General features: G+C 38.1%; 1 protein-coding gene across 1 annotated transcript in view; it reads left to right on the forward strand.

The window, feature by feature from the left end:
• The window catches only part of MSH4 (mutS homolog 4), a 116,361-nt gene that overhangs the window by 44,721 nt on the left and 45,412 nt on the right, over positions 1 to 26,228 (forward strand). Inside the window, exons 8-9 of the mRNA NM_002440.4 lie at positions 6,607 to 6,674; positions 25,912 to 25,986. Of these exons, the coding sequence (NP_002431.2) occupies positions 6,607 to 6,674; positions 25,912 to 25,986 (143 nt within the window). The remainder of the gene's footprint in view (positions 1 to 6,606; positions 6,675 to 25,911; positions 25,987 to 26,228) is intronic.

A 26,228-nucleotide genomic window follows, 5' to 3' on the forward strand; every position in this document is an offset into this window, starting at 1 on the left:
CTATGAAGGGCCTTTTTATAATGCTAAGGAGTTTAATTTTTTTCCTTCAGGCAATATGGAGCTGACATTCTGAACCTAGAGAGTACTGATCAAATCCTATTTTAGAAACATTCTGGTTGTAGTGATAGATTTGGGGAAAGGAAGAAGGAGGAGTCTGGAAAGAGAAAGAGCAATATAAATGAGGGCTAAAGGGAGTCTGACTAATAGAATCACATGTAAAATGTCATAATAGTATTGTGCCATATTGCACATAATGAAGAATATAACCGCAATATATTCAGCCTATTCTAATTTTTTAAACTATTGGCGAAAAGAGCCAAACTCTGTAAAATATTTGAAGAGATTTATTTTGAGCCAAATATGAGTGACCATGGCCCATGAACACAGCCCTCAGGAGGTCCTGAGAACATGTGCCCAAGATAGTCGGAGTACAGCTTGGTTTTGTATATTTTAGGGAGGCATGAGACATCAATCAAATACATTTAAGAAGTACAATGGTTTGGTTCAGAAAGGCAGGACAACTCAAAGCAGGCGGTGGGACTTCCAGACTGTAGGTAAATTTAAACATTTTCTAGTTGACAATTGGTTGAGTTTATCTGAAGACCTGGGAATGTTCAGGTTAAGATAAAGGATTATGGGGACCAAGTTTTATTGTGTAGAGGAATCTCTCAGATAGCAGACTTCAGAGAGATAGCAGGTTGTAAAATGTTTCTCACTGGACCTGAAAGGATGCCTGGCTCTTAGTTGATTATCTTCTGGATCTGGAAAGAAAGGAAGGAAAACTGTGGGCAGCAAGCCACCCAGGCCCCAAGGAAAGAGACCGAGGACAGGAGCTGTTCCAGTATAGTAAAATATAAAACAAGAATAGTTATACCAGATATAGATCTTAGATATGATTATATATGAATATCATTAATCATTAGTTTGTAGCAATTACTCTTTATTCCAATATTATAATAATCCTCACTCCATAATCATACCCTAGGAAAAACCAGGCCATACAGAGATAGGAGCTGAGGAGACACAGTGAGAAGTGACCAGAAGACAAGAGTGCGAGCCTTCTGTTATGCCCGGACAGGGCCACCAGAGGGCTCCTTGGTCTAGTGGTAATGCCAGCGTCTGGGAGGACGCCCGTTGCCAGGCGGACCTTGGTCTAGCGGTAGCATAAGTGTCAAGGGAAAACACCCGCTACTTAGCAGACCGGGAAAGGGAGTCTCCCTTTCCCCAGGGGAGTTTAGAGAAGACTCTACTCCTCCACCTCTTGTGGAGGGCCTGACATTAGTCAGGCTCGTCCACAGTTATCCGGAGGCCTAACAGTCTCACTGTGATGCTGTGCTTCAGTGGTCACACTCCTAGTCTGCCTTCGTGTTCCATCCTGTACACCTGGCTCTGCCTTCTAGATAGCAGTAATAAATTAGTGAAAGTACTAAAAGTCTCTGATATGCAGAAATAATGGCATAAGCTGTCCTTCTCTTTGTCTCCTCTCTCTCTCTGCCTCGGCTGCCAGGCAGGGAAGGGCCACCTGTCCAGTGGACACGTGACCCACGTGACCTTACCTATCATTGGAGATGACTCACACTCTTTACCCTGCCCCTTTTGCTTTGTATCCAATAAATAACAGCGCAGCCAGACATTCGGGGCCACTACCGGTCTCCGTGCATTGGTCATAGTGGTCCCCTGGCCCAGCTGCCTTTTCTTTTATCTCTTTGTCTTGTGTCTTTATTTCTACACTCTCTCGTTGCTGCACACGGGGAGAAACTCACCCACCCTGTGGGGCTGGACCCTACAGAAAACGAAGGGGTAAGGGGATTCTCTATAGAATGTGAATTATTCCCACAAGAGACTTTGCAGGGCAATTTCAAGGCATGGCAAGGACATATATTTTGGGGTTAAATATTGTATTCCTTGTTTCATAATGTTATGCCAGAGTCAGATTGAAAAGCAAATCACAATATGCAGGGTCAAATAAAACCCATCTCATGAGAATCTATGGTTTGTAGGGCATAACTCCCTAGACCCCTTAGGTAGGAATTTGGGCCAGATACAAAATCAGAGCTTAGGCCTCAAAACAGTTTTAACATAATGAATTACCATAGAAACAGAAAATTAGAAAGGGGACAGTTCTAGAGGTAGGCAAACTGAAAACTATCAAAAGACACCTGACAGTTTGAACAGGTAGCAGGTAAAATAAACATTTTCTTATTTTGTGGGTTTCTTTTTTTTTTTGAGATGGAGTTTCACCCTTGCTGCCCAGGCTGGAATGCAATGGAGTGATCTCGGCTCACTGTAACCTCCGCCTCCCGGGTTCAAGCGATTCTCCTGCCTCAGCCTCCCGAGTAGCGGGGATTACAGGCATGCACCACCATGCCTGGCTAATTTTGTAGTTTTAGTAGAGATGGGGTTTCTCCATGTTGGTCTGGCTGGTCTCGAACTCCTGACCTCAGGTGATCCACCTGCCTCGGCCTCCCAAAGTGCTGGGATTACAGGCGTAAGCCACCACGCCCGGCTCTTATTTTGTGTTTTAAGGGATAACAGCATGACACCACTTTGAGAGTGTTAATAAGTCTACACAAAAACTTTTAATGTTATATATTACTATGATAATAACCATGAGTCATTAAGAAATAGTTATCATTGTTCACTGTATTTCAAGTATGGGGAAATAAGTACATTTTAAAACAATCTCTATGTTAAATGGTTAAAGTTTATTACTTATTTATATTTATTTTTATTAATTTTTTTGAGACAGAGTCTGACTCTGTTGCCCAGGCTGGAGTGCAGTGGCACAATCTTGGCTCACTGCAACTTCTATCTCCCTGGCTCAAGCCATCCTCCCACCTCAGCCTCCTGAGTAGCTGGGACTACAGGTGGGCACCATCCCACATGGCTGATTGTTGTATTTTTTGTAGAGACAGGGTCTCACTGTGTTGCCAAGGCTGGTCTCAAACTCCTAAGCTCAAGTGATCTCCTGCCTTGGCCTCCCAAAGTGCTGGGATTATAGGTGTAAGCCACCACACCTGGGCTGAAATGGTTAAAAGTTTTTTAAAAAAATACCTGGGGATATTTAAAAGGGATAGTTTACAATTTTCTATAAATTTATTTTTGTAGAACACTGTAAGCTGGAAAATAAATTGAGAAGAATAAAATAAGTTTTTGAGTGGTGGTACATGCAAGACACTTTACACATTGCCATAGTCTATTTGTGTTGCAGTAATAAAATACCTGAGACTAGGTAATTTATAAAGAACAGTGATTTATTTCTTACAGTTCTGAAGGCTGGGATCTGCAAGGTTAAGGGACCTGTATCTGGTGAGGGCCTTCTTGATGCATCATCCCACGCCAAAAGGCAGAAGGACAAGAGAGCACACATACAAGAGAGAGAGGAAGGGGAGCAAACTCATCCTTTTATCCAGAATTTACTTCCAGAACAAGTAACCCACTTCTGTGATAATGGCATTAATCCATTCATGAGGGCAGAGCCCTCTTCACCTAATCACCCTTTAAAGGTCCCACCTCTCAACAAGGTTGCACTGAGATTAAGTTTCTAATGCATGAACTTTGGGGACACATTCAAACCATAGCACTCTGCTCCTGGCTCCCTCAAATTCATGTCCTTCTCACATGCAAAATACATTCATTTCATCCCAATAGGCCTAAAGTCTTAACTTGTTTCAACACTTACTCAAAAGTCCAGAATCTCATCTGAATCAGATATGTGAGACTCAAGGCATGATTCCTCCTGAGGCAAATTCCCCACCAGCTATGAGCCTATGAAATTAAAAAAGTTATCTACATCCAAAATGTTGGGACAGGCATAGGATAAACATTCCCATTACAAAAGGGAGAAATAGGCAATAAGAAAGGAGTAACAGGCCCAAGGAAATCAGTTCAAACCTCACAAGGAAAACAACAGTAAGTCTTAAGAAGAAGAATCTTCTTTGACTCCATATCCCACATCAGGGGCACAGTGGGGAAGAAGTAGGGCTCTCAAGGCCTCAGGCAGCGTCAGGGCTTAGTCCACTCAGCAGCTCTCATGGTTTGCAGTCTCATGCCCATGGCTTTCTCAGATTGGAGTTACATGCTTGTGCCCCCTATAGTTCTGTGGTCTCAGGGTGGGGAGGTAGGGGGTGATTACCCACTCCCATGGCTTTACTAGGCATTGCCCTAGTGGGGACTCTGTGAATGATGGCCTCTATCCTATGGCTCCACCAGGCATAGTGGGGGCTTTCTGTGGTAGGTTCTCTGTGGTGGCTCTGCCCCATGATAAGTCTCTGCCTGGGCCCCAGGCTGTCCTCAACATCCTTTGAAATTTAGGCAGAAGCCACCATGGCTTCATACCTATTGTATTCTGTGTGCCTGCAGAATTAGCACCATGTGGACACTGCCAAGATACACAGCTTATACCTTCTGGAGCAGTGGGTTGAGCTGCAGCTGGGCTCACCTGAGCTACAGTTGTGGTGGCTGAGAGGTGCTATGCCAGAATTAAGGAAGCAGAGTTCCAAGGTGCTGCAGGGCAGCAAATGCTGAGGTCTCACAAGCACCTTGCTGGAAACCTTGCCCTCAAGGTCCTAGCTTCCCTAGATCTCTGAAATGTTTTTGGGGTCATTCTCATTGTTTTCATGAATAGAACCTGGCTTCTTTCTATACTAATATTTTTAGCAATCACTTGACCACACCCTTAGTATTCTCCCCCAAACATACATTTTATGTGGCCAGGCTAAGAGTTTTCATAATTTGTTTATTCTGCTTCTTTTTAAATTATAAATGTCATCTTTAAAGTATTTCTCCCTTCTCTCATTTTACTGTAAGTGACTGAAAGAAGCTATGCAACATCTTGAATGCTTTACTGCCTAGGTAGCTCTTCTGCCAGATATCCTAGTTCATTCCTCTTAAGTTCTGCCTTCCACAATATCCTAGGACATGGATACAGTTCTGCCAAGTTCTTTTCAACTGTAACAAGGATGGCCTTTACTCCAGTTTCCAAGATTTTGTTTTTCAGTTCCACCTGAGTCCTCATCAGAATGGCCTTTACTTTCCATATTTCTACCAATGTTCTGATCATGACCACTTAAGTAGTCTTTACAACATTCCAGACTTTCCTTACATTTCTTTCCTTTTTCTGAGCCTTCACTAGAATTGCCCTTAATGTTCTTCTGTTCATGGCAATCTGGGCTTTTTCTAACCTGCTCCTCCAAATTCTTCCAACCTCTACCCATTCCTATTACCCAATTCCTAACCTGCTTCCACATTTTCAGGTATTTGTTATAGCAACAACCCCAGTCTTGGTACCAATTTTCTATCTTAGTTTGTTTTGTGCTGCTATAACAGAATATCTGAGACTGAGTAATTTATAAAGGACAGAGATTTATTTCTTACAGTTCTGGAGGTGGGGAAGATCAAAGTCAAGTGGCTCACATCTGGTGAGGGCCTTCCTGCTGCATCATAACATGGTGGAAGGGCAAGAGAGCATGCATGCATATGAGAGGAAGGGAGCTGAACTCATCCTTTTATCAAGAACCCACTCTCATGATAATAGCACTAATTCACTCACAGAGGCAGAGCCCTCATGACCTAACCATCTCTTAAAGATCCTACCTCTCAAGACAGTTGCATTGGGGATCAAGTTTCCAACACATGAACGTTGGGGATCATATTCAAACCGTAGCACAAGTATTACCTCACTTAATTCTCACAACACACCTGGGAGGTAGATGTTATCAGCATTTAAAAGATGAGAACAGCTATTGTTTAGAGAAGTTAGGTAACTCTTGGGAAGTTATGTGGTTAGTGGTTGAACTATACTTTTAAACTAAGGATCTTTTAAATATCATGAAGAAAAGTAGAGATCAAAAAGATGAGAAGAAAATTATGATAGACAATATCAAAACCAGAGAAGTAGAGTTTCAAGAATGAGGGTAAGTCGTGTTGCTATAATAGAATACCTGAGGCTGGGTAATTTACGAAGAAACGAGTTTATTTGGGTCACAATTCCAGTGACTGGAAAGTCCAAGAGTATGGCATTGGCATCTACTCAGCCTCTGGTCAGGGCTTTCATGATGCATCATAACATGGAGGATGGTCAAGGAGGAAATAGACATATGCTAAGAGCAAAATGAGGGGCATCCTCACTTTCTAACAACCTGTTCTTGTGTGGGAACTAGTCCCTTTCTGTGTAAACTAATCCAGTTTTATTAAGGGGTTAACTCACTCATCACGGTAGGAATGGCACTAAGCTGCCCATGAGAGTGGAGCCTCTGTGACCCAAATGTTTTCCACTAGACTCCACCTATTAAATGTTTTATCTCCCAACATCGCCACACTAGGAATTAAGGTTTCAACATGAGTTTTGGTGGGGACAGGCAAATCATAGCAGAAGGGATGGTTAGCAGCATTAAATTTTGAGGTGAGATTGAGTAATCAAAATTAACAAAAGAGCATTAGAATTTAGTTATATTCATTTTACATGTAAGATAGTTAAAGAAGACAAAAAGTAATATTTGTAGGTAGAACTGTTCTATTTTATTCTTTGAGGATAATATTTTACATAGTCAATATTTTGAACTGTACCATAAAGTTTAAATACTCACATTTGTTTGTTTGTTTCAGTTATATCAAGATTTCTTGATACAGAGCAGCTTCTTTCTGTTTTAGTCCAAATTCCAAAGCAAGACACGGTATGTTTTTGTATACATTTTGTATTATATTATTATACATTATTTGATGGAACTTGTCTTAATGTAATGTAACAATTGGAAAATATCAAAATGTTTTGGGAAAGTCCTTCATTATTGATATCTGGAGTATTTTATGCCACTGTAGAGGAAACTTTTTTCCTAATGTATTATCCTGTATGTTATAGTGAAATTTAAAATTTCAGCCCGGCATGGTGGCTCATGCCTATAATCCCAACACTTTGGGAGGTCAAGGCAGTTCAAGACAAGCCTGGGCAAGAAAGTGAGACCCCATCTCTACAAAGGATCAAAAAATTAGCTGGGCATGCTGTTGCATGCTTGTAGTCCCAGCTCCTGGGGAGGCTGAGGTGGGAGGATAACTTAAGCCTTGGGAGGTCAAGGCTGCAGTGAGCTGTGTTCGCATCACTGCACTCCAGCCTGGGTAACATAGTGAGGCCTTGTCACAAAAAAAAATTGCTTTTTAGATAGTTGAGGAATTGGCCTATTTTCACTGATCAAATATTAAGGAGTTATATATAATTTTCAAAAGACTTAGACTATAATAATATTTGCCTAATAACTAACTAACTAAAATATATTAGAGCTAAAGATTCTTCTTAAAAGTGATCATTATGTGAAGTTTGATTAGTCTTCAAATATTATTATTATTATTTTTGAGATGGAGTCTCACTCTGTCACCAAGGCTGGAGTGCAGTGGTGCGATTTTGGCTCACTGCAACCTCTGTCTCTCAGGTTCAAGTGATTCTCTTGCCTCAGCCTCCCAAGTAGCTGGGATTACAGGCATGCACTACCATGCCTGGCTAATTTTTGTATTTTTAGTAGAGATGGGGTTTCACCATGTTGGCCAGGCTGATCTCGAACTCCTGACCTCAAGTGATCTGCCCACCTCGGCCTCCCAAAGTACTGGGATTGCAGGTGTGAGCCACCATGCTTGGCCAAGTCTTTAAATATTCTTAACCTTTAAGAATGAAACAACACATTTTCTGGATATTTTTCCAATTTAAATAGTGCTTATGGGTATATTCTGCAAAGAAAGTAATAATAGCTTTCATTCTTCCATTTAAGATGAACTGAAGAATATTTACTATAATGAAATACAGGTATATTTTTGCCCATATGCATAAAAAGAAAAGTCTTGCACATCAATAAAATTTAATTTACAATTTGATGACATTTGTAAATCCATTGAAAGCTAATCTATATTTGGGAAGCCTTTTTGTATTATAAAGAAAATACTCTTAAGGTTCATTTATAATAAAATCATCACTAGATTGAAAAGCTTTAGCTGTTGGGCAGGCACAGAACTGAGTTTCCTTAAATAATTGAAGCTGCTTATACTTCAATGTATACAAATGGGAAGTAACCTAAAACAACTGATGTTTGGAATTAAATTAGCAGCCCTCATAAAATAAGTTTGGAAGTAGCCCTTCCTCTTTAATTTTCTGGTAGAGTTTACATAGAACTGGTATTATTTCTTCCTTACATATTTGGTAGAATTTACAAATGAAGCCATTAAAGCCTGGAATTTTTTTGGTAGGAAGGTTTTTAACTATAAATTCCACTTATTAAATAGGCATAGTGCTCTTCAGGTTATCTGTTTCTTCTTGAACAAGCTTTGGTACCTTGTGTCTTTTAAAGAATTTTTCATTTCACCCAACTTTTCAATGTATCAGCATAAACTATCTCATAATATCCTCCTTATATCTGTAAAATTGGCAGTGATACACTCTCTCATTCCTGATACTGATAATTTTAATATGTTCTCTGTTTTTCTTAATCAGCCTGGCTAGATATTATCAATTTTATTGGTATTCTCAAGGAGCCAACTTTCTATTTCATTGGTTTCTCTTTTTTGCTCCTGTTCTTTATTTCACTGATTTCTGGTTTTATCACTCTTCTGCTTACTCTGTGCCTACTGTTCTTTTTTGAGGTTGTAAAGGAGGAAGCTGAGGTCATTGATTTGAGAACTTTTTTCCTTCTAATATAAGCATTTTAGTACTATAAATTTCTCTCTGAGTAATGCTTTAGCTGTATTCCACAATTTTAGATATGTTGTGATTTCTTTTTCTTTCAAAAAGGTCAAAACACTTTCTAATTTCTTTTTAAACATTCTTTGATGTATGGGTTTTTAGAGGTATGTTATTTTATTTCCAGTATTTGGGGACTTTCCAAATATCTTTTTGTTATTGGTTTCTAATTTAATTCCCAATGATCAGAGACCATGTATTATATAATATAGATCCTTTTAGCTTTATTGACTTTTTTTATGGCCCAAAATAGAGTTAATCTTGGTAAATGTTCCATGTGAACTTGAAAACAATGTGTATTTTGCTGTTGTTGGTTGGAGCGTTCCATAAATGTCACTTTGTTCAAGTTGTGTGGTAGTGTTCTTCAAATCTCCTATATCCTTATGGTGTTTTACGTTTTTTTGTTTTGTTTTGTTTTGTTTTTCTATTTGTTCTATCAGTTATTAAGAAAGGAGTGTCAAAATCTCCAAATGTAATTGTGGATTTGTCTATTTTTCCTTTCAGTTTTATCAGTTTTTATCTAATGTATTTGGAATCTTTGTTATTAGATTCATAAACATTTAAGATTGCTATATCCTCTATAAATTGAGCCTGTTGTCATTATGAAATGATGCTTTTTTATCCCTAGTAGTATTTTTTGCTATGAAATCTACTGCATCTAATATTAATATAGCCACTCCAGCTTTCTTTTGGTTAGTGTTGCCATGGCATATCTTTACCATCCTTTTGCTTTTAACTTATTTTTGTCTTTATATTTAAAGAAGGTTTTTTGTAGGTGACATATAGTTAAGTCTTAACTTTTTGCATACAATCAGAGAATACCTTACTTTTAATTGAGGTATTTATTACATTTACACTTAATAAGATTATTGATATGTTTTTATTTAAATCTGCCATCGTTTTTTTTTTCATTTTTCTCATCTGTTTGCTCCCTTGTTTCTTTTTTTCTGCCTTCTTTTGTATTTTTTTATGATTCCATCTCATTTCCTTTGTTGGCTTATTAGATATAACTCATTGCCTTCATTAGCTTAATTATTGACTTAGGGTTTATAGACTACATCTTTAGCTGAATTCAGTCCATTTTTGTTTATTTTTTATTTTATTTTTTGGGACAGAGTCTTGCTCTGTCACCCAGGCTGGAGTGCAGTGGCGCCATCTCGGCTCACTGCCACCTCTGTCTCCCGGCTTCAAGTGATTCTTGTGCCTCAGCCTCCCTAGTAGCTGGGACTACAGGCATGCCACCATGCCATGCTAACTTTGGTATTTTTAGTACAGATGGGGTTTTGCCATGTTGGCCAGGCTGGTCTCAAACTCCTAACCTCAAGCGATCCACCTGCCTAGGCCTTCCAAAATGTTGGGATTATAGGTGTGAACCATCGGACACAGCCTCAGACCACTTTAAATAATATTATAATACTTTACATATGATATAAGAGCCTTGCACTAGTATACCATCATTTCCCTCTTCCCTACCATTATGCTATTATTGTAACATGTTTAACTTCTACATATATTTCACAATTCATTTTTAAAAATAAGACAGCTTTATTGAGATGTAATTACATAGATTACAATTCACACATTCAAAGCCTACAATTTAATTGTCTTTAATGCATTCACAGAGTTGTACAACCATCACCACAGTCAATTTTAGAACATTTTAATCATTCCCAGAAGCAATCCTGCAACCACTAGCAATAACTTCCCATTCCTTCTAACCCCCGTTTCCCCAGCCTTAGACAACCAGTAATCTATTGTCTGTCTCTACAGATTTGCCTATCCTGGACATTTTATATAAATGGAACATTTTAGTATGTACAGGTAGTCTTTTGTGACTGGATTTTTAACTTAGCATAACGTTTTCAAGTTTCATGTTGTAGCATTTATCAATACTTTATTCTTTGTATTGACAAATAATATTCCATTGTATGGATATAACACATTTGGTTTATCAGTTTATCAGTTGATGGCTATTTAGGTTGTTTTCACTTTTGACTATTATGAATAATGCTATGAATATTTGTGTGCAGGTTTTTCTAGGGACATACATTTTTCATTTGTCTTGATATATACCTAGGAATGGAATTGCTGGGTCATGTGATAACTCTATGTTTAATAATTTGAGGAACTGCTGGATTGTTTTGCAAAGTGACTTTATCATTTTAGGTATCCACCAGCAGTGTTTGAGGGTTCTGATTTCTCCACATCCTTGTCAAGACTTGTTATTATCTTAATTTTTGATTCTGGTGAGCCTGTCGGGTGTCTCATGGTTTTGGTATACATTTCCATGATGACTGACAATGTCGAGCATCTTTTTACATGCTTATTGGCCATTTGTATCTTCCTTGGAGAAATATTTATTAATATTATTTGCCCATTTTAAATTGGGTTGTTTGTATTTTTATTACTGAGTTGTGAGAGTTCTTTATATATTTTGGATACCAATCCCTTATTGGATATATGATTTGCAGATATTTTCTCCCATTCTGTGGGTTGTCTTTTCACTTTCTTGATTATATGCATGTTAATCCCCGATCAAAAAAATGAATACTTAACTCTCTTTTCTTCCTTATCTCCCATAAACATGGATACTTACATCCTTGCTTTTCATCACCCAGTATGATTATAACAGTTTTAGTTAGATCAAAATTATTATGAAAATTATTACGTTATACAGAGCTGAGCCTGCGTGACTTTTTGTGGGCTTTTCCCCAGAAATTAGTAACTATTTTTCTTTGTTTGTTTGTTTGTTTGTTTGTTTGAGACAGAGTTTCACTCTGTCACCCAGGCTGGAATGCAGTGGTGTAATCTCGGCTCACTGCAACCTCCACCTCCCAGGTTCAAGTGATTCTCCTACTTCAGCCTCCCAAGTAGCTGGGATTACAGGCACCCGCCACCATGCCCAGCTAATTTTTGTATTTTTAGTAGAAACGGGGTTTCACCATGTTGGTCAGGATGGCCTCAAACTCCTGACCTCAAGTGATCTGCCTGCCTCAGCCTCCCAAAGTACTGGGGTTACAGGCGTGAACCACCACACCTGGCCTGATTTTTTTTATTGTTAGATTCAGGTTACATAACATTGGCAGAAATACCACAGAAGTGATGATGCGTTCTTCTCATTGCATCTTCTTATATGGCACACAATTTTGATTTGTCTCATTATGATGATAAGTTTGTATACTTGGTTGAGATGGTGTAAAATTGCTGCACAATTATGATTCCCCCATTTAATTAATAAGTATTTTGTGGGGAGGTAGCTTGAAACCATGTAAATATTTTGCTCTTCTTTCAATTTATCCAACTTTCAATTTATGTATGTATGTATTTAATCCATATGGACTGATGATTTTATATTCAATTGGTTATAGTCTATTACTGTCAATATTTATTTTGATTCTCACATTGTCTCAGATTTGACATGTGCAAGCCTCTTCTAATTTGCTTCTATGCTCTTTGGAAATGCATCCACAATTCTTTGAGAACTTTATCATTTTCTGCCTCAAGAAAATGAGCCAGGCTTATCTTGTACTTTCCTTGGTAGCCTTTGAATCAACTATTTCTCCCAGGAGTCCTGGTTCATTTTAGTAAGGAATGGTATTAGAAATCAAGATTTGAGCACCAGGTGTACTTATTGCTATTGGGGTATCACCATTCTAAAACCCTCTCATGGCTAGGGCATAAGTGTGTGTGTGTATATATATATATATGCATAAATATATAGATATTGACCTCTATATTTATTTCTGTATTTATCTATACAATAGAAAATCATACGTTCATACCAATACTTCCAATTTCAATTTACAGTCACAGGGTTCATACTAGTTTTCTCTCTTTCCATATTAGTAACTCTCTTCTCTGTCAATGAAAAACCTGATGAGAAATCCTATTATCCAATGAGAAGTCTTCATTATTCTTAATATATTAATATATTTGATATATTCAGGAGGAATACCAATCTCCTACTACTGCTGCTCCCTCCCCCATGCAGATACCATCTTCACTCTGCCTATGCTGTAGTACTCCCTGCTGAACTGTCTTCCTATGCTGAAATCCTTCTCACCTCTCTCAGGCTCAAGCTGCCCTTCTACGCAGAGGAGGCTTTCTTCAGCCTACTTGGGATCCAAAACCTGTGTCAGGGTTTCCCTCTTCTCTTGCATGAATAACCTCCTGTTGTTCATATTCAGGCTCATATACCCTTGCTAGGTAGACCTTCAGTTTAAATGGCTTCCTTGTCCTCCTGTGCTATACCACCCGTCCGTCCTCTCCCTGCTCTGGCTTTGCCACCCCCACACCAACGATGCTCTCTTCTTCCTATTTGGGCCCTAACAACTGATACTACATCACATTGTTCATATTAAAATGATTTTTCAGTATATATGGAGGGTTCTTCACTTTATTTTTGAATATGTTGCTAGCCTAACCTTTTTTTCTTTGCATTTGTTTAACAGTGTTGTTGGAATCAGTAAATGTTTTAGGATTTTCAGAGACTTAAACATGAATAATCAATATAAATAAAAACAAAGTACCACAGTTAATGTTTATGATATTTTGCCAGATGTCACTGCTTTGGATGATATTTTTGAATGAAAAATATCTTAAATACTTAACAGTTTTTACTTATGAATAGCATATTTTACATAGAAAAATGCAATGCAGTTTAATAGAACAGGAAATGGCCACTTTATATAGATAATTAGTATTTGTATTAGTTTTTTTTTTTCTTTCTTTTTTGAGACAGAGTCTCACTCTGTTATCTAAGCTGGAGTGCAGTGGTGTGATCATAGTTTACTTTAGCCTTGACCTCCCTGGCTTGTGCAATCTTCCTACCTCAGCCGCCTGAGTAGCCAAGACCACAGGCATGCGCTACCACACCCAACTAATTTTTAAGTTTTTTGTAGAGATGGGGAATTGTCTTTTTGCCCAGGCTTGTCTTGAACTCCTGGGCTCAAGCAATCCTCCTATCTTGGCCTCCTGAAGTGCTGAGTTTATGGGTGTGAGTCACTGTGCCTGGCCTGTATTAGTTTTCTAAGGCTGTGTAACAAAACACTATGAATTGCACATCCTAAAATAATAGAAATTTATTGTCTTACAGATTTAGAGGCTAATAATCTGAAATCAAGGTGTTTTAGGGCCATGCTCTCTCTGCGAAACCTGTAGGGGAATCCTTTCTTGCCTCTTCCTAGCTTTTGGTGATTTGTTTACAATTATTGCCATTTCTTGGCTTGAATCTTCATAACGCCAATCTGTGTTTCCTCGTCAAATGGTGGTGTCCCTGTGTTTCCACGTGTTCACAACGCCAATCTGTGTTTCCTCTTCAAATGGTGGTGTCCCTGTGTTTCCATGTGTTCACATGGCTGTCTTTGTATGACATCAATATTATTGGACTAGGGGCCTACCCCACTCCAGTATTACATCATTGTAACAATTACTAACCTCTGGAATGACCCTATTTCCAAATAAGATCACATTTTGAGGTACTGAGGGTTAGAACTTCAACAGAATTTTTTTGGAGGGAACACAATTCAACCTTTAACAGTGTATAAGTGAAGGCTATGTTTCTATTTTACTATAGGAAAGAATTAATCATCAGATTATACCTGACAGCAATCTCTTTATTGTCAATTTATGTAACATATAGTATTATGCAATCACACAGTTTCATACAGTGTCACTAGTTATAGGAATTAGTAATATACATCTTTTTGCACTAGACAATTTCTGGTTAAATTAGGAAAAAAATATCACTTTGACCAACTAGTTTTCTGAGAAATATCTGTGAATAGCTTGCCTGCTTCTATACTCAGTTTGACTATCAGATTTTAGAAAAGTCTTCTGGTCTAGGTTTAAGGTAATTCAGTAAGCTAAGAATCTGGAACCTTTTTTTCTGTTCAGAAAAAAAAATTATAATTAGCGCCATAAGGTTTTAAAGGGTCAATGTTACTTCCCATCCTTTTTTCTTTCTTTCTTTCTTTTTTTATGTATATTTTAGGTTCTGGGTTACATGTGCAGAACGTGCAGTTTTGTTACATAGGTATACACGTGCCATGGTGGTTTGCTGCACCTATCAACCCATCACCTACATTAGGTATTTTTCCTAATGTTATCGCTCCCCTAGCCCTCCACCCCCGACAGGCCCCGGTGTGTGGTGTTCCCCTCCCTGTGTCCGTGTGTTCTCGTTGTTCAACTCCCACTTATGAGTGAGAACATGCGGTGTTTGGTTTTCTAATCTTGTGATAGTTTGCTGAGAATAATGGTTTCCAGCTTCATCCATGTCCCTGCAAAGCACATGAACTCATCCTTTTTTATGGCTGCACAGTATTCCATGGTGTATATGTGCCACAATTTCTTAATCCAGTCTATCACTGATGGACATGTGAGTTGGTTCCAAGTCTTTGCTATTGTGAATAGTGCTGCAATAAACATACATGTACATGTGTCTTTATCGTAGAATGATTTATAATCTTTTGGGTATATGCCCAGTAATGGGATTGCTGGGTCAAATGGTATTTCCAGTTCTAGATCCTTGAGGAATCATCACACTGTCTTCCACAATGGTTGAACTAATTTACACTCCCACCAACAGTGTAAAAGGGATCCTATTTCTCCACATCCTCTCCAGCATCTGTTGTTTCCTGACTTTTTAATGATCGCCATTCTAACTGGCATGTGATGGTATCTAGTTGTGGTTTTGATTTGCATTTCTCTAATGACCAGGGATGATAAGCATTTTTTCATATGTCTGTTGGCTGCATAAATGTCTTCTTTTGAGAATTGTCTGTTCATATCCTTTGCCCATTTTTTGATGGGGTTGTTTGCTTTTTTCTTGTAAATTTCTTTAAGTTATTTCTAGATTCTGGATGTTAGCCTTTTGTCGGATGGATAGATTGCAAAAATTTTCTCCCATTCTGTAAGTTGCCTATTCACTCTGATGATAGTTTCTTTCACTGTGCAGAAGCTCTTTAGTTTAATTAGGTCCCACTTGTCAATTTTGGCTTTTGTTGCCATTGCTTTTGGTGTTTTAGACATGAAGTCTTTGCCCATGCCTATGTCCTGATGGTATTGCCCAGGTTTTCTTCTAGGGTTTTTATGGTTTTAGGTCTAACATTTAAGTATTTGATCCATCTTGAGTTTATTTTTGTATAAGGTGTAACGAAGGGGTCTAGTTTCAGTTTTCTGCATATGGCTAACCAGTTTTCCCAGCACCATTTATTAAATAGGGAATCTTTTCCCCATTGCTTGTATGTCTCAGGTTTGTCAAAGATCAGATGGTCGTACATGTGTGGTGTTATTTCTGAGGCCTCCGTTCTGTTCCGTTGGTCTATATATCTGTTTTGGTACCAGTACCATGCTGTTTTGGTTACTGTAGCCTTGTAGTACAGCTTGAAGTCAGGTACCGTGATGCTTTGTTTAATCTTGGCTATGCGGGCCCTTTTTTGGTTCCATATGAACTTTAAAATAATTTTTCCAATTCTGTGAAGAAAGTCAGTGGTAGCTTGATGGGGATGGCCTTGAATCTATAAATTACTTTGGGCAGTATGGCTTTTTTCACGATATTGATTCTTCTTATCCATGAGCATGGAATATTTTTCCATTTGTTTGTGTCCTGTCTTATTTCTTTGAGCAGTGGTTTGTAGCTCTCCTTGAAGAGGTCCTTCACATCCCTTGTAAGTTGGATTCCTAGGTATTTTATTCTCTTAGTAGCAATAGTGAATGGGAGTTCACTCATGATTTGGCTCTCTGTTTATCTGTTATTGGTGTATAGGCATGCTTGTGATTTTGCACATTGATTTTGTGTCCAGAGAATTTGCTGAAGTTGCTTATCAGCTTAAGAAGATTTTGAGCTGAGACAATGGGGTTTTCTAAATATACAATCATGTCATCTGCAAACAGAGACAATTTGACTTCCTCTCTTCCTATTCAAATACCCTTTATTTCTTTCTCTTGCCTGATTGCCCTGGCCAGAACTTCCAATACTATGTTGAATAGGAGTGGTGAGAAAGGGCATCCTTGTCTTGTGCCAGTTTTCAAAGGGAATGCTTCCAGTTTTTGCCCATTCAGTATGATATTGGCTGTAGATTTGTCATTAATAGCTCTTATTATGTTGAGATACATTCCATTGATACCCACTTTATTGAGAGTTTTTAGCATGAAATGCTGTTGAATTTTCTGAAGGCCTTTTCTGCATCTATTCAGATAATCATGTGGTTTTTGTCGTTGGTTCTGTTTTTGTGATGGATTATGTTTATTGATTTTGTGTATGTTGAACCAGACTCGCATCCCAGGGATGAAGCCGACTTGATTGTGGTGGATAAGCTTTTTGATGTGCTGCTGGATTCGGTTTGCCAGTATTTTATTGCGGATTCTCACATTGATGTTCATCAGGGATGTTAGCCTAAAATTCTCTTTTTTTCTTGTGTCTCTGCCAGGATTTGGTATCAGGATGATGCTGGCCTCATAAAATGAGTTAAAGAGAATTCCCTCTTTTTCTATTGATCGGAATATTTCAGAAGGAATGGTCCCAGCTCCTCTTTGTACCTCTGGTAGAATTTGGCTATGAATCCATCTGGTCCTGGACTTTTTTGGTTGCTAGGCTATTAATTATTGCCTCAATTTCAGAACCTGTTATTGGTCTATTCAGAGATTTACCTTCTTCCTGGTTTAGTCTTAGAAAGGTGTATGTGTCCAGGAATTTATCCATTTCTTCTAGATTTTCTAGTTTATTTGCATAGAGGTGTTTATAGTATTCTCTATGGTAGTTTGAATTTCTGTGGGATCGATGGTGATATCCACTTTATCATTTTTTATTGCGTCTATTTGATTCTTCTCTCTTTTATTCTTTATTAGTCTTGCTATTGGGCTATCTCTTTTGTTGATCTTTTAAAAAACCAGCTCCTGGATTCATTCATTTTTTGAAGGGTTTTTTGTGTCTCTATTTCCTTTAGTTCTGCTCTGATTTTAGTTATTTCTTATCTTCTGCTACTTTTGAATTTGTTTGCTCTTGACTGTCTAGTTCTTTTAATTGTGATGTTAGGGTTTCAATTTTAGATCTTCCCTGCTTTCTCCTGTGGGCATTTAGTGGTATAAATTTCCCTCTACACACTGCTTTAAATGTGTCCCAGAGATTCTGGTACGTTGTGTCTTTGTTCTCACTGGTTTCGAAGAACATCTTTATTTCTCCCTTCATTTTGTTATTTACTGAGTAGTCATTCAGGAGCAGGTTGTTCAGTTTCCATGTAGTTGTGTGGTTTTGAGTGAGTCTCTTAATCCTGACTTCTAATTTATTGCACTGTGGTCTGAGAGGCAGTTTGTTGTGATTTCTATTCTTATACATTTGCTGAGGAGTGTTTTACTTCCAATTATGTGGTTGATTTTAGAATTAGTGTGATATGGTGCTGAGAAGAATGTATATTCTGTTTATTTGGGGTGGAGAGTTCTGTAGATTTCTATTAGGTCCACTTGGTTCAGAGTTGAGTTGAAGTCCTGGATATCCTTGTTAATTTTCTGTCTCATTGATCTGTCTAATATTGACAGTGGTGTGTTAACGTCTCCCATTATTACTGTGCAGGAGTCTAAGTCTCTTTGTAGATCTCTAAGAACTTGCTTTATGAATCTGGGTGCTCCTGTATTGGGTGTGTATATATTTAGGACAGTTAGCTCTTCTTGTTGAATTGATCCCTTTACCAATATGTAATGGCCTTCTTTGTCCTTTTTTATCTTTGTTGGTTTCAAGTCTGCTTTATCAGAGACTAGGATTGCAACCCCTGCTTTTTTTTTTGCTTTCCATTTGCTTAGTAGATCTTCCTCCATCCCTTTATTTTGAGCCTTGTGTGTCTTTGCATGTGTGATGGGTCTCCTGAATACAGCATGCTGATGGGTCTTCACTGTTTATCCAACTTGCCAGTATGTGTCTTTTAATTGGAGCATTTATCCCATTTACATTTAAGGTTAATATTGTTATATCTGAATTTGATCCTGTCATCATGATGCTAGCTGGTCATTTCTCCCATTAATTTATGCAGTTTTTCCATAGCATTGATGGTCTTTACAATTTGGCATGTGTTTGCAGTGGTTGGTACTGGTTATTCCTATCCATGTTTAGTGCTTCCTGCAGGAGCTCTTGTAAGGCAGGCCTGGTGGTGACAAAAATCTCTCAGCATTTGCTTCTCGCTAAAGGATTTTATTTCTCCTTCACTTATGAATCTTAGTTTGGCTGGATATGAAATTATGGGTTGAAAATTCTTTTCTTTAAGAATGTTGAATATTGGCCCCCACTGTCTTCTGGCTTGTAGGGTTTCTGCCGAGAGATCCGCTGTTAGTCTGATGGGCTTCCCTTTGTGGGTAACCTGACCTTTCTCTGGCTGCCCTTAACATTTTTTCCTTCATTTCAACCTTGGTGAATCTGCCAATTATGTGTCTTGGGGTTGCTCTTCTTGAGGAGTATCTTTGTGATGTTCTCTGTATTTCTTGAATTTGAATGTTGGCCTGTCTTGCTAGGTTGGGGAAGTTCTCCTGGATAATATCCTGAAGAGTGTTTTCTAACTTGGGGCCATTCTCCCAGTCACTTTCAGGTACACCAATCAAATGTAGATTTGGTCTTTTCACCTAGTCCCATATTTCTTGGAGGCTTTGTTTGTTTCTTTTCACTCTTTTTTCTCTAATCTTGTCTTCTCTCTTTATTTCATTAATCTGATCTTCAGTCACTGATATCCTTTCTTCACTTGATCGAATCAGCTATTGAAACTTGTGTATGCTTCAGGAAGTTCTCATATTGTGCTTTTCAACTCCATCAGGACATTTAAGCTCTTCTCTACATGGTTATTCTAGTTAGCCATTCATCTAACCTTTTTTTCAAGGTTTTTAGCTTCCTTTTGATGGGTTAGAACCTGCTCCTTTAGCTTGGAGAAGTTTGTTATTACCGACCTTCTGAAGCCTACTTCTGTCAAGTCGTCAAACTCATTCTGCATCCAGTTTTGTTCCCTTGCTGGTGAGGAGTTGTGTTCCTTTGGAGGAGAAAAGGTGTTCTGGTTTTTGGTATTTTCAGCCTTTCTGCTCTGGCTTCTCCCCATCTTCATGGTTTTATCTACCTTTGTCCTTTGATGTTGGTAACCTACGGATGGGGTTTTGTGTGGATGTCCTTTTTGTTGATTTTGATGCCACTCCTTTCTGTTTGTTAGTTTTCTTTCTAACAGACAGGCCACTCAGCTGCAGGTCTGTTGGAGTTTGCTGGAAGTCCACTCCAGACCCTGTTTGCCTGGATATCACCAGCAGAGGCTGCAGAACAGCAAATATTGCTGCCTGATCCTTCCTCTGGAAGCTTCGTCCCAGAGGGGCAACCGCCTGTATGCGGTGTCTGTTGGCCCCTACTGGGAGGTGTCTCCAAGTCAGGCTACACAGGGATCAGGGACCCACTTGAGGAGGCAGTCTCTCTGTTATTGGGGCTCAAACACCATGCTGGGAGAACCACTGCTCTCTTCAGAGCTGTTATGCAGGGACGTTTAAGTCTGGAGAAGCTGCCTGCTGCCTTTTTTTCAGATATGCCCTGCCCCCAGAGGTGGAATCTAGAGAGGCAGTAGGCCTTGCTGAGCTGCAGTGGGCTCCACCTAGCTCGAGCTTCCCTGCCACTTTGTTTACACTGTGTGTATAGAACCACCTACTCAAGCCTCAGCAATGGCGGACGCCCCTCCCCCTGCCAAGCTCCCACATCCCAGGTTGATCTCAGACTGCTGAGCTACCAGGGAGGAGGTCTCTGTGGGCGTGGAACCTGCTGAGCCAGGCACGGAAGGGGATCTCCTGGTCTGCCAGTTGTGAAGACCGTGGGAAAAGTGCAGTATTTGGGCAAGAGTGCTCCTCCAGGTACAGTCACTCACAACTTCCCTTGGCTAGGAAAGAGAAATCCCCCCACCCCTTGTGCTTTCCGGGTGAGGTGATGCCCTGCCCTGTTTCGGCTCACCCTCCGTGGGCTGTACCCACTGTCCAAGCAGTCCCAGTGAGATGAATCAGGTACCTCAGTTGGAAATGCAGTAATCACCCATCTTCTGCGTCAATCTCGCTGGAAGCTGTAGACTGGAGCTCTTCCTATTTGGCCATCTTGGAAGCGTGGTCCACTTCCCATCCTTTAAACTAAGGAAAACTTTAGTTTTGGGAGAATCAGTCAGAATTGTAAATCTTTTTCTCACCATTGTGTTTCTGTCCTTTGTGGAGGCTTTTTGTTAAGACTGTACAGATCAGATTTAGTAACCTTTAGGGAAACTTAAGCAATATATTTAACTTTATGCATGATTCATGGCCTTCATTATTTCTTATAATGTTTCTCAGTTATCATTTTTTTAACCATCTGAAAATTTGTTTTGAAGGGCTCTTTTCTCATTTAATATAAGCACAAATCTCTTAATTGAATACAGTATTTACTAAGTTCAGACTTGTGCTGGTTAAACTGAATGATTTGCTAAAACTTGTGAATGAACTAAATGCTTTCAGAAAATTTTCAGTAAGAAATTGTTTGCCTAAGATGAGTTCTTATTCTTTCTTTTTAAGAATATTGATTCCTAGAAAATGCATGTTTCTGACCATAAGTGTTCACTAAAAATAAAGCTTAAATTTCTTATCTTAACACAATTTTCTTTCTGTACAGTATCTATAACCATAGCACTTAATGTATTGCACTAAGAATATTTGTGTTTTCCACTACAAATGCTTAAAATACTTTCCCCAACATTTGAAAAATTTATATTAAAGATATTTTTCTAATTTTTATCATGAGTTTTTTGCATCATTTTGAATAACTTTTTTTCAAATGATTTCAGACTGCCATATAGAGTATCTGAAGTATATGATTCCTTCTTTGATTTATTCTATGATTCATTTTAGTAAGTATTATGATAAGTGCTAAAATATAATAAGAATTACAGCTCTGATCCAAAAGAATTTATACTCCAATGTTATATTTGGGTAAAAATAAAATAAGCAATTACAGCATAGTATTATCTAGAACTGCAAGGGATCTGAGATTCTACCCTAGTTGCAAACTAACTAGTTAGCCTGCCATAGTTTCATAGATGCTGACAGAAGGCACAAGACGCTTGGGTCAAAGAGAAATATAAACATGCTATTATCGCTTCATTAAAAAAATATAAAATGGCTTTTTTTGCTTGTTTTTACTTCCCCCTCTACTTTTCTTCTGTTTCTCTGTAAAGCAATATTTTTTGGAAGGATTATCTGTAACTGATGTATCTAATTATGCTTCTTTTCTCTCCAAACCCATTCCAAACAAATCTTCGCCTCACCACTCCACTGGGAGGATTATCTGTAATTTGTGTATCTAATTATGCTCCTTTTCTCAAAGCCACCAATTATTTCCATATTGCTATATCCAGTGGTTAATGGCAGTGCTCATCATGCTTGACCTAGCAGCAAAATTTGACTCAGATGAACACACTCATTTCTCATTTTCTTCTTTTGCCTTCTGTAAGAGTATTCTTTTCTTTCTACCTTCCTGTTTATTATTATTTTTAGCCTTTTCTTAAAGTAATGAGAAATAATATACAATACAGAAAACTGTACAAAATAAAAATGTAATGTTACATTGATTTATCACAAAGTGAACATTCATGTAACAACCACTCACGTAAAGAAATAGTTATCACCAATACCTCAAAAATTCCCCTTCTTCTCCTTCCCATCCATTATTTTCTACCTGTCTCCAAAAAGAAACGACTTTTAGTAATCATTTCCTTTTCTTTGTAATTTAGTTTGACTTGATCTATTAAAAACTTTATATATAAAGGGATTATTCAATGCATATTTTTTGTGCCTGACTTCTTCAAGTCAACATTTTATTTGTGAGATTTAACCATGTTGTTTCATTCAGCTTTAGCTCATTTATTTTCACTGCTATATGATATTCCACTGTATATTAATATGCCATTATTTATCCATTTCATAATTGCTGAACTTTTGAGTTGCTGACAGTTTTTGCAATCAGAAATAATACTGCTAAACAATCTTGTACCCATCTCTTAATGTAATTGTACATATGTTTTTATTTGGTATATAGTTAGGAGTGGAATTGCTGGGTCATGTGGTATGCATATATTCAACTTTGGTAGATAATGCCAAAATGTTTTTCAAAATGATTTATCCATTTATCCTCCCATCAGCATATGAGAACTCCAGTTTTTCTTCCCCAAACCTGATATTACTGGTTTTAAAATTTTAGCCGTAGCATTTTAATAAACGTGGTTTTAATTTGTGTTTTCCTATTAATGAGGTTGAACATCCTTTCATATGTATATTGACCATTTGAATATCTTCTTTTGTGAAAGTCTTGCTTGAGATTCTTACTCATTTTTCTATTTGGTTTATCTGCTTTTGTGATTTGTATAGCTTCTTTTCACATATTAGATATAAGCCCTTTTTTGGTTATGTGTGTTACAAACATTTCTTCCCATTTTGTAGTTTAATTTGCACTGAACATTGTGGGATAGATGCTGTTGGTATGCTACCCACATTGCCTTGGTATTCACTTTTGTGCAGGAAGACTTCTTGCTTGAAGCAGCTGAGACTCTGCTTTCTGAAGAATTTCTCTGGCCATAAGAGAGGCTGGAGGGTATTAGGGAATTGATGCCCTGGCAACAGCTCTTAACCAACACTGAATAGGAGTTGATGAATAAATACCCCATTTTCCTTACCTCTGGAGATAGCTTCTGAAACTTACTCTATTCCATCTCTCAGATGTCTCCATCTGAGAGATGGAGACAAATTGGTTACTTGATCATTAATGTCTCCTGTACAGGTATCCTTTCCTTCTCTGTCTTACTTCCCCACTCCCTTGCTTGTTTTTGCTGGAATTACTTTTTAAAATAAATTATTTGCTCTCAAATTCTAGTTTCTCAGAGTTGGCTTTTGGAGAACCTATCTTGAGTTAGTAATATCTTTTGATAAATAGAAATTCATAATTTAAATGGATCTAGTTTATCAGTTTTTTTTCCCTTCATAGTTAGTGTTTGCTCTGTCCTGCATAAGAAGTCTTTACCTACTCTAATATCTTGATTGTACCCATGGAATTTTAATTTTAATTTATGAAGATGATTGAATGATAACATGGAGACACTAATGCTATTGTTTATTACGTATAGTTCCCAAGAGGAGAGGGCATGTCAGGCAGGACCACCTGGGGAAGTACTAGGGTTGGTCGAGAGGCAGAAGGAGCAAGGAGAAACATGGGCAAAAATGCCAGGAAGTTGCTAGGTAGGGAAGTCACCTGTTGGGCAGGAAGTAAAACACAGATGTTGAAGTTTGTGATTGGAGAGTTTGTAATATGATTTTCACATGCCTGCAAAAGCCAGACTGCAAGGGAGATGTAAACAACTTTAGCTATTAGTTTCACCGTGTGATTAATGGATGCCAAATCATCAATTACAAAATCTATAAAAGTTAATTAGAACACACAAGGCCATGAAGATATTCTTCTTTATTAATTCCAGATATTTTATTGTTTTACCTTTTATACTTAGATATACAATCCATCTGGAATTAATTTTTGTGTGTAGGTTGAGGGAAGGGCCATGTTTCTTTTCTTCCCATATGGATTCATAATTCTACTGGTACTATTTACGGAAAAGACTCTCCTTTCCCCACTGTTCCGCAGTCAACCTTTGTCATAAATCGAGTGCCCATATATATGTTTAGGTCTATTTCTAGACTCTTTATTCTGTTCCATTGGACTCTGTTTTTACGTCAATACCATCATTTCTTAATTACTGTAATTTTATTAGAAGTTGACATTCATTCATTAGTTAGTCTTTCCATCTTCTTCTTCTTCAGTGGTGTGTTAGCTATTTTTGGAATTATCCCCCTGCCCTTTTTTGAGACAGGGTTTCACTTTGTCACCCAGGCTGGTGTGATCACTGCTTACTGCAGGCTCAACCTCCTGGGCTCAAGTGATCCTCCCACCTCAGCCTCTATGTAGCTGGACCACAGACATGTGCCACCACACCCAGCTAATTTCTTAACTTTTTTTTTGTAGAGGCAGAGTTTTGCCATGTTGCCCAGGCTGGTCTCAAACTCTTGAGCTCAAGTGATCCTCCTACCTCAGACTCCCAAAATGCTGGGATTACCGACATAAGCCATTGCACCTAGCATGAATTATTCTTCTTTAGTGATAGTGATGATAGTTGTTTTCTGTTTAGTGAATTTTATTTATTTTTAATCTTCCAGTTAGTTTCAGAGATCCATTGTAAGAGAACATGACATAACCCATTTGGGGCTAACAACATTTATTATGGCATTTTTTCTAAATTGATGCATATGGTCACAGAACAGTCCAGGTATTGTGCAGTGGGGCTATAGACCACGGTACCTCAAAAAGAAACATCTGGCTAGGCATGGTGGCTCATGCCTGTAATCCCAGAACTTTGGGAGGCCGAGATGGCTGGATCATCTGAGGTCAGGAGTTCGAGACCAGCCTAGCCAACATGGTGAAACCCCATCTCTATTAAAAAAAAAAAAGAAACATCTTCATATCAAGTACATTATGTCATAATTGTAGTCCTAAAACTCTACTTCATCTGTCAGTATTGGTAAATTAGTCCAGGCACAGGATCATTCCTCATTCCTCCAGGTTTGGTAACACTGCCCAATTCTAGAGTGCAATTTAATTTATATAAAATTTATTAATAAAATTTGGAATGTTGATATTGCTTTATTTTGGCAAACTATAATTCCTAGTGGAATTATGAAAAGTTTTACTTGAACAAACAGGAACCAATGAGGGAAATCAGTGTTGTTCTATAACTATCTGGGAGGTTTGGATTCAGCCTTTTAAAATATCATCTATCTACAAATACTCTTTGTGCCTTTTTCAGTTAATCTTAGTCTCTTGGTGCTGCTCAGGATTGGACTGCATCTCCTTTTGCTATTCAGTTTAAATTGAACCCAAGAGATTGAAATAGAAATGAAAATTGGATACAAAGAGATGAACTCTTCTCATTTCCAGACTTTTGGGAAACCGGTGTGCTAGGTTAATTATGGTGGGTCAATAATTTTGTATCATTCTTTAGGCTTGCATTGCGGCTAGGCTGATATATAAAAATATATGGGATATGGAAAGAGTAAGAATGTTCAAGAGGAAAACCCATTGTTCTATTAAATATTTATGGTGTCCATCCAAATTTGGGTTTTTATCTTAACAGGTCAATGCTGCTGAATCAAAGATAACAAATTTAATATACTTAAAACATACCTTGGAACTTGTGGATCCTTTAAAGGTAATTTATGTGTGTGTATCGTACAAAACATGTCCAGCATTATTTTTTAACTTTTTGTTGGAAAAAAATTTCAAACTCGGAAAATTGCAAGAATAACATGGCGAATTTCCCATATTTTTTTTCTTTGTACATACTTTACATACACATACACATTGTTAGCCTTATTATGCTTACTGAACCATTTAAGAATAAATTGCAGCACCTAAGTACTAAGGTACTAAGTACTTAGGAGACTAAAGTCT

This window comes from Homo sapiens, chromosome 1 (genome assembly GCF_000001405.40).
Source record: "Homo sapiens chromosome 1, GRCh38.p14 Primary Assembly".
NCBI lineage: Eukaryota > Metazoa > Chordata > Mammalia > Primates > Hominidae > Homo > Homo sapiens.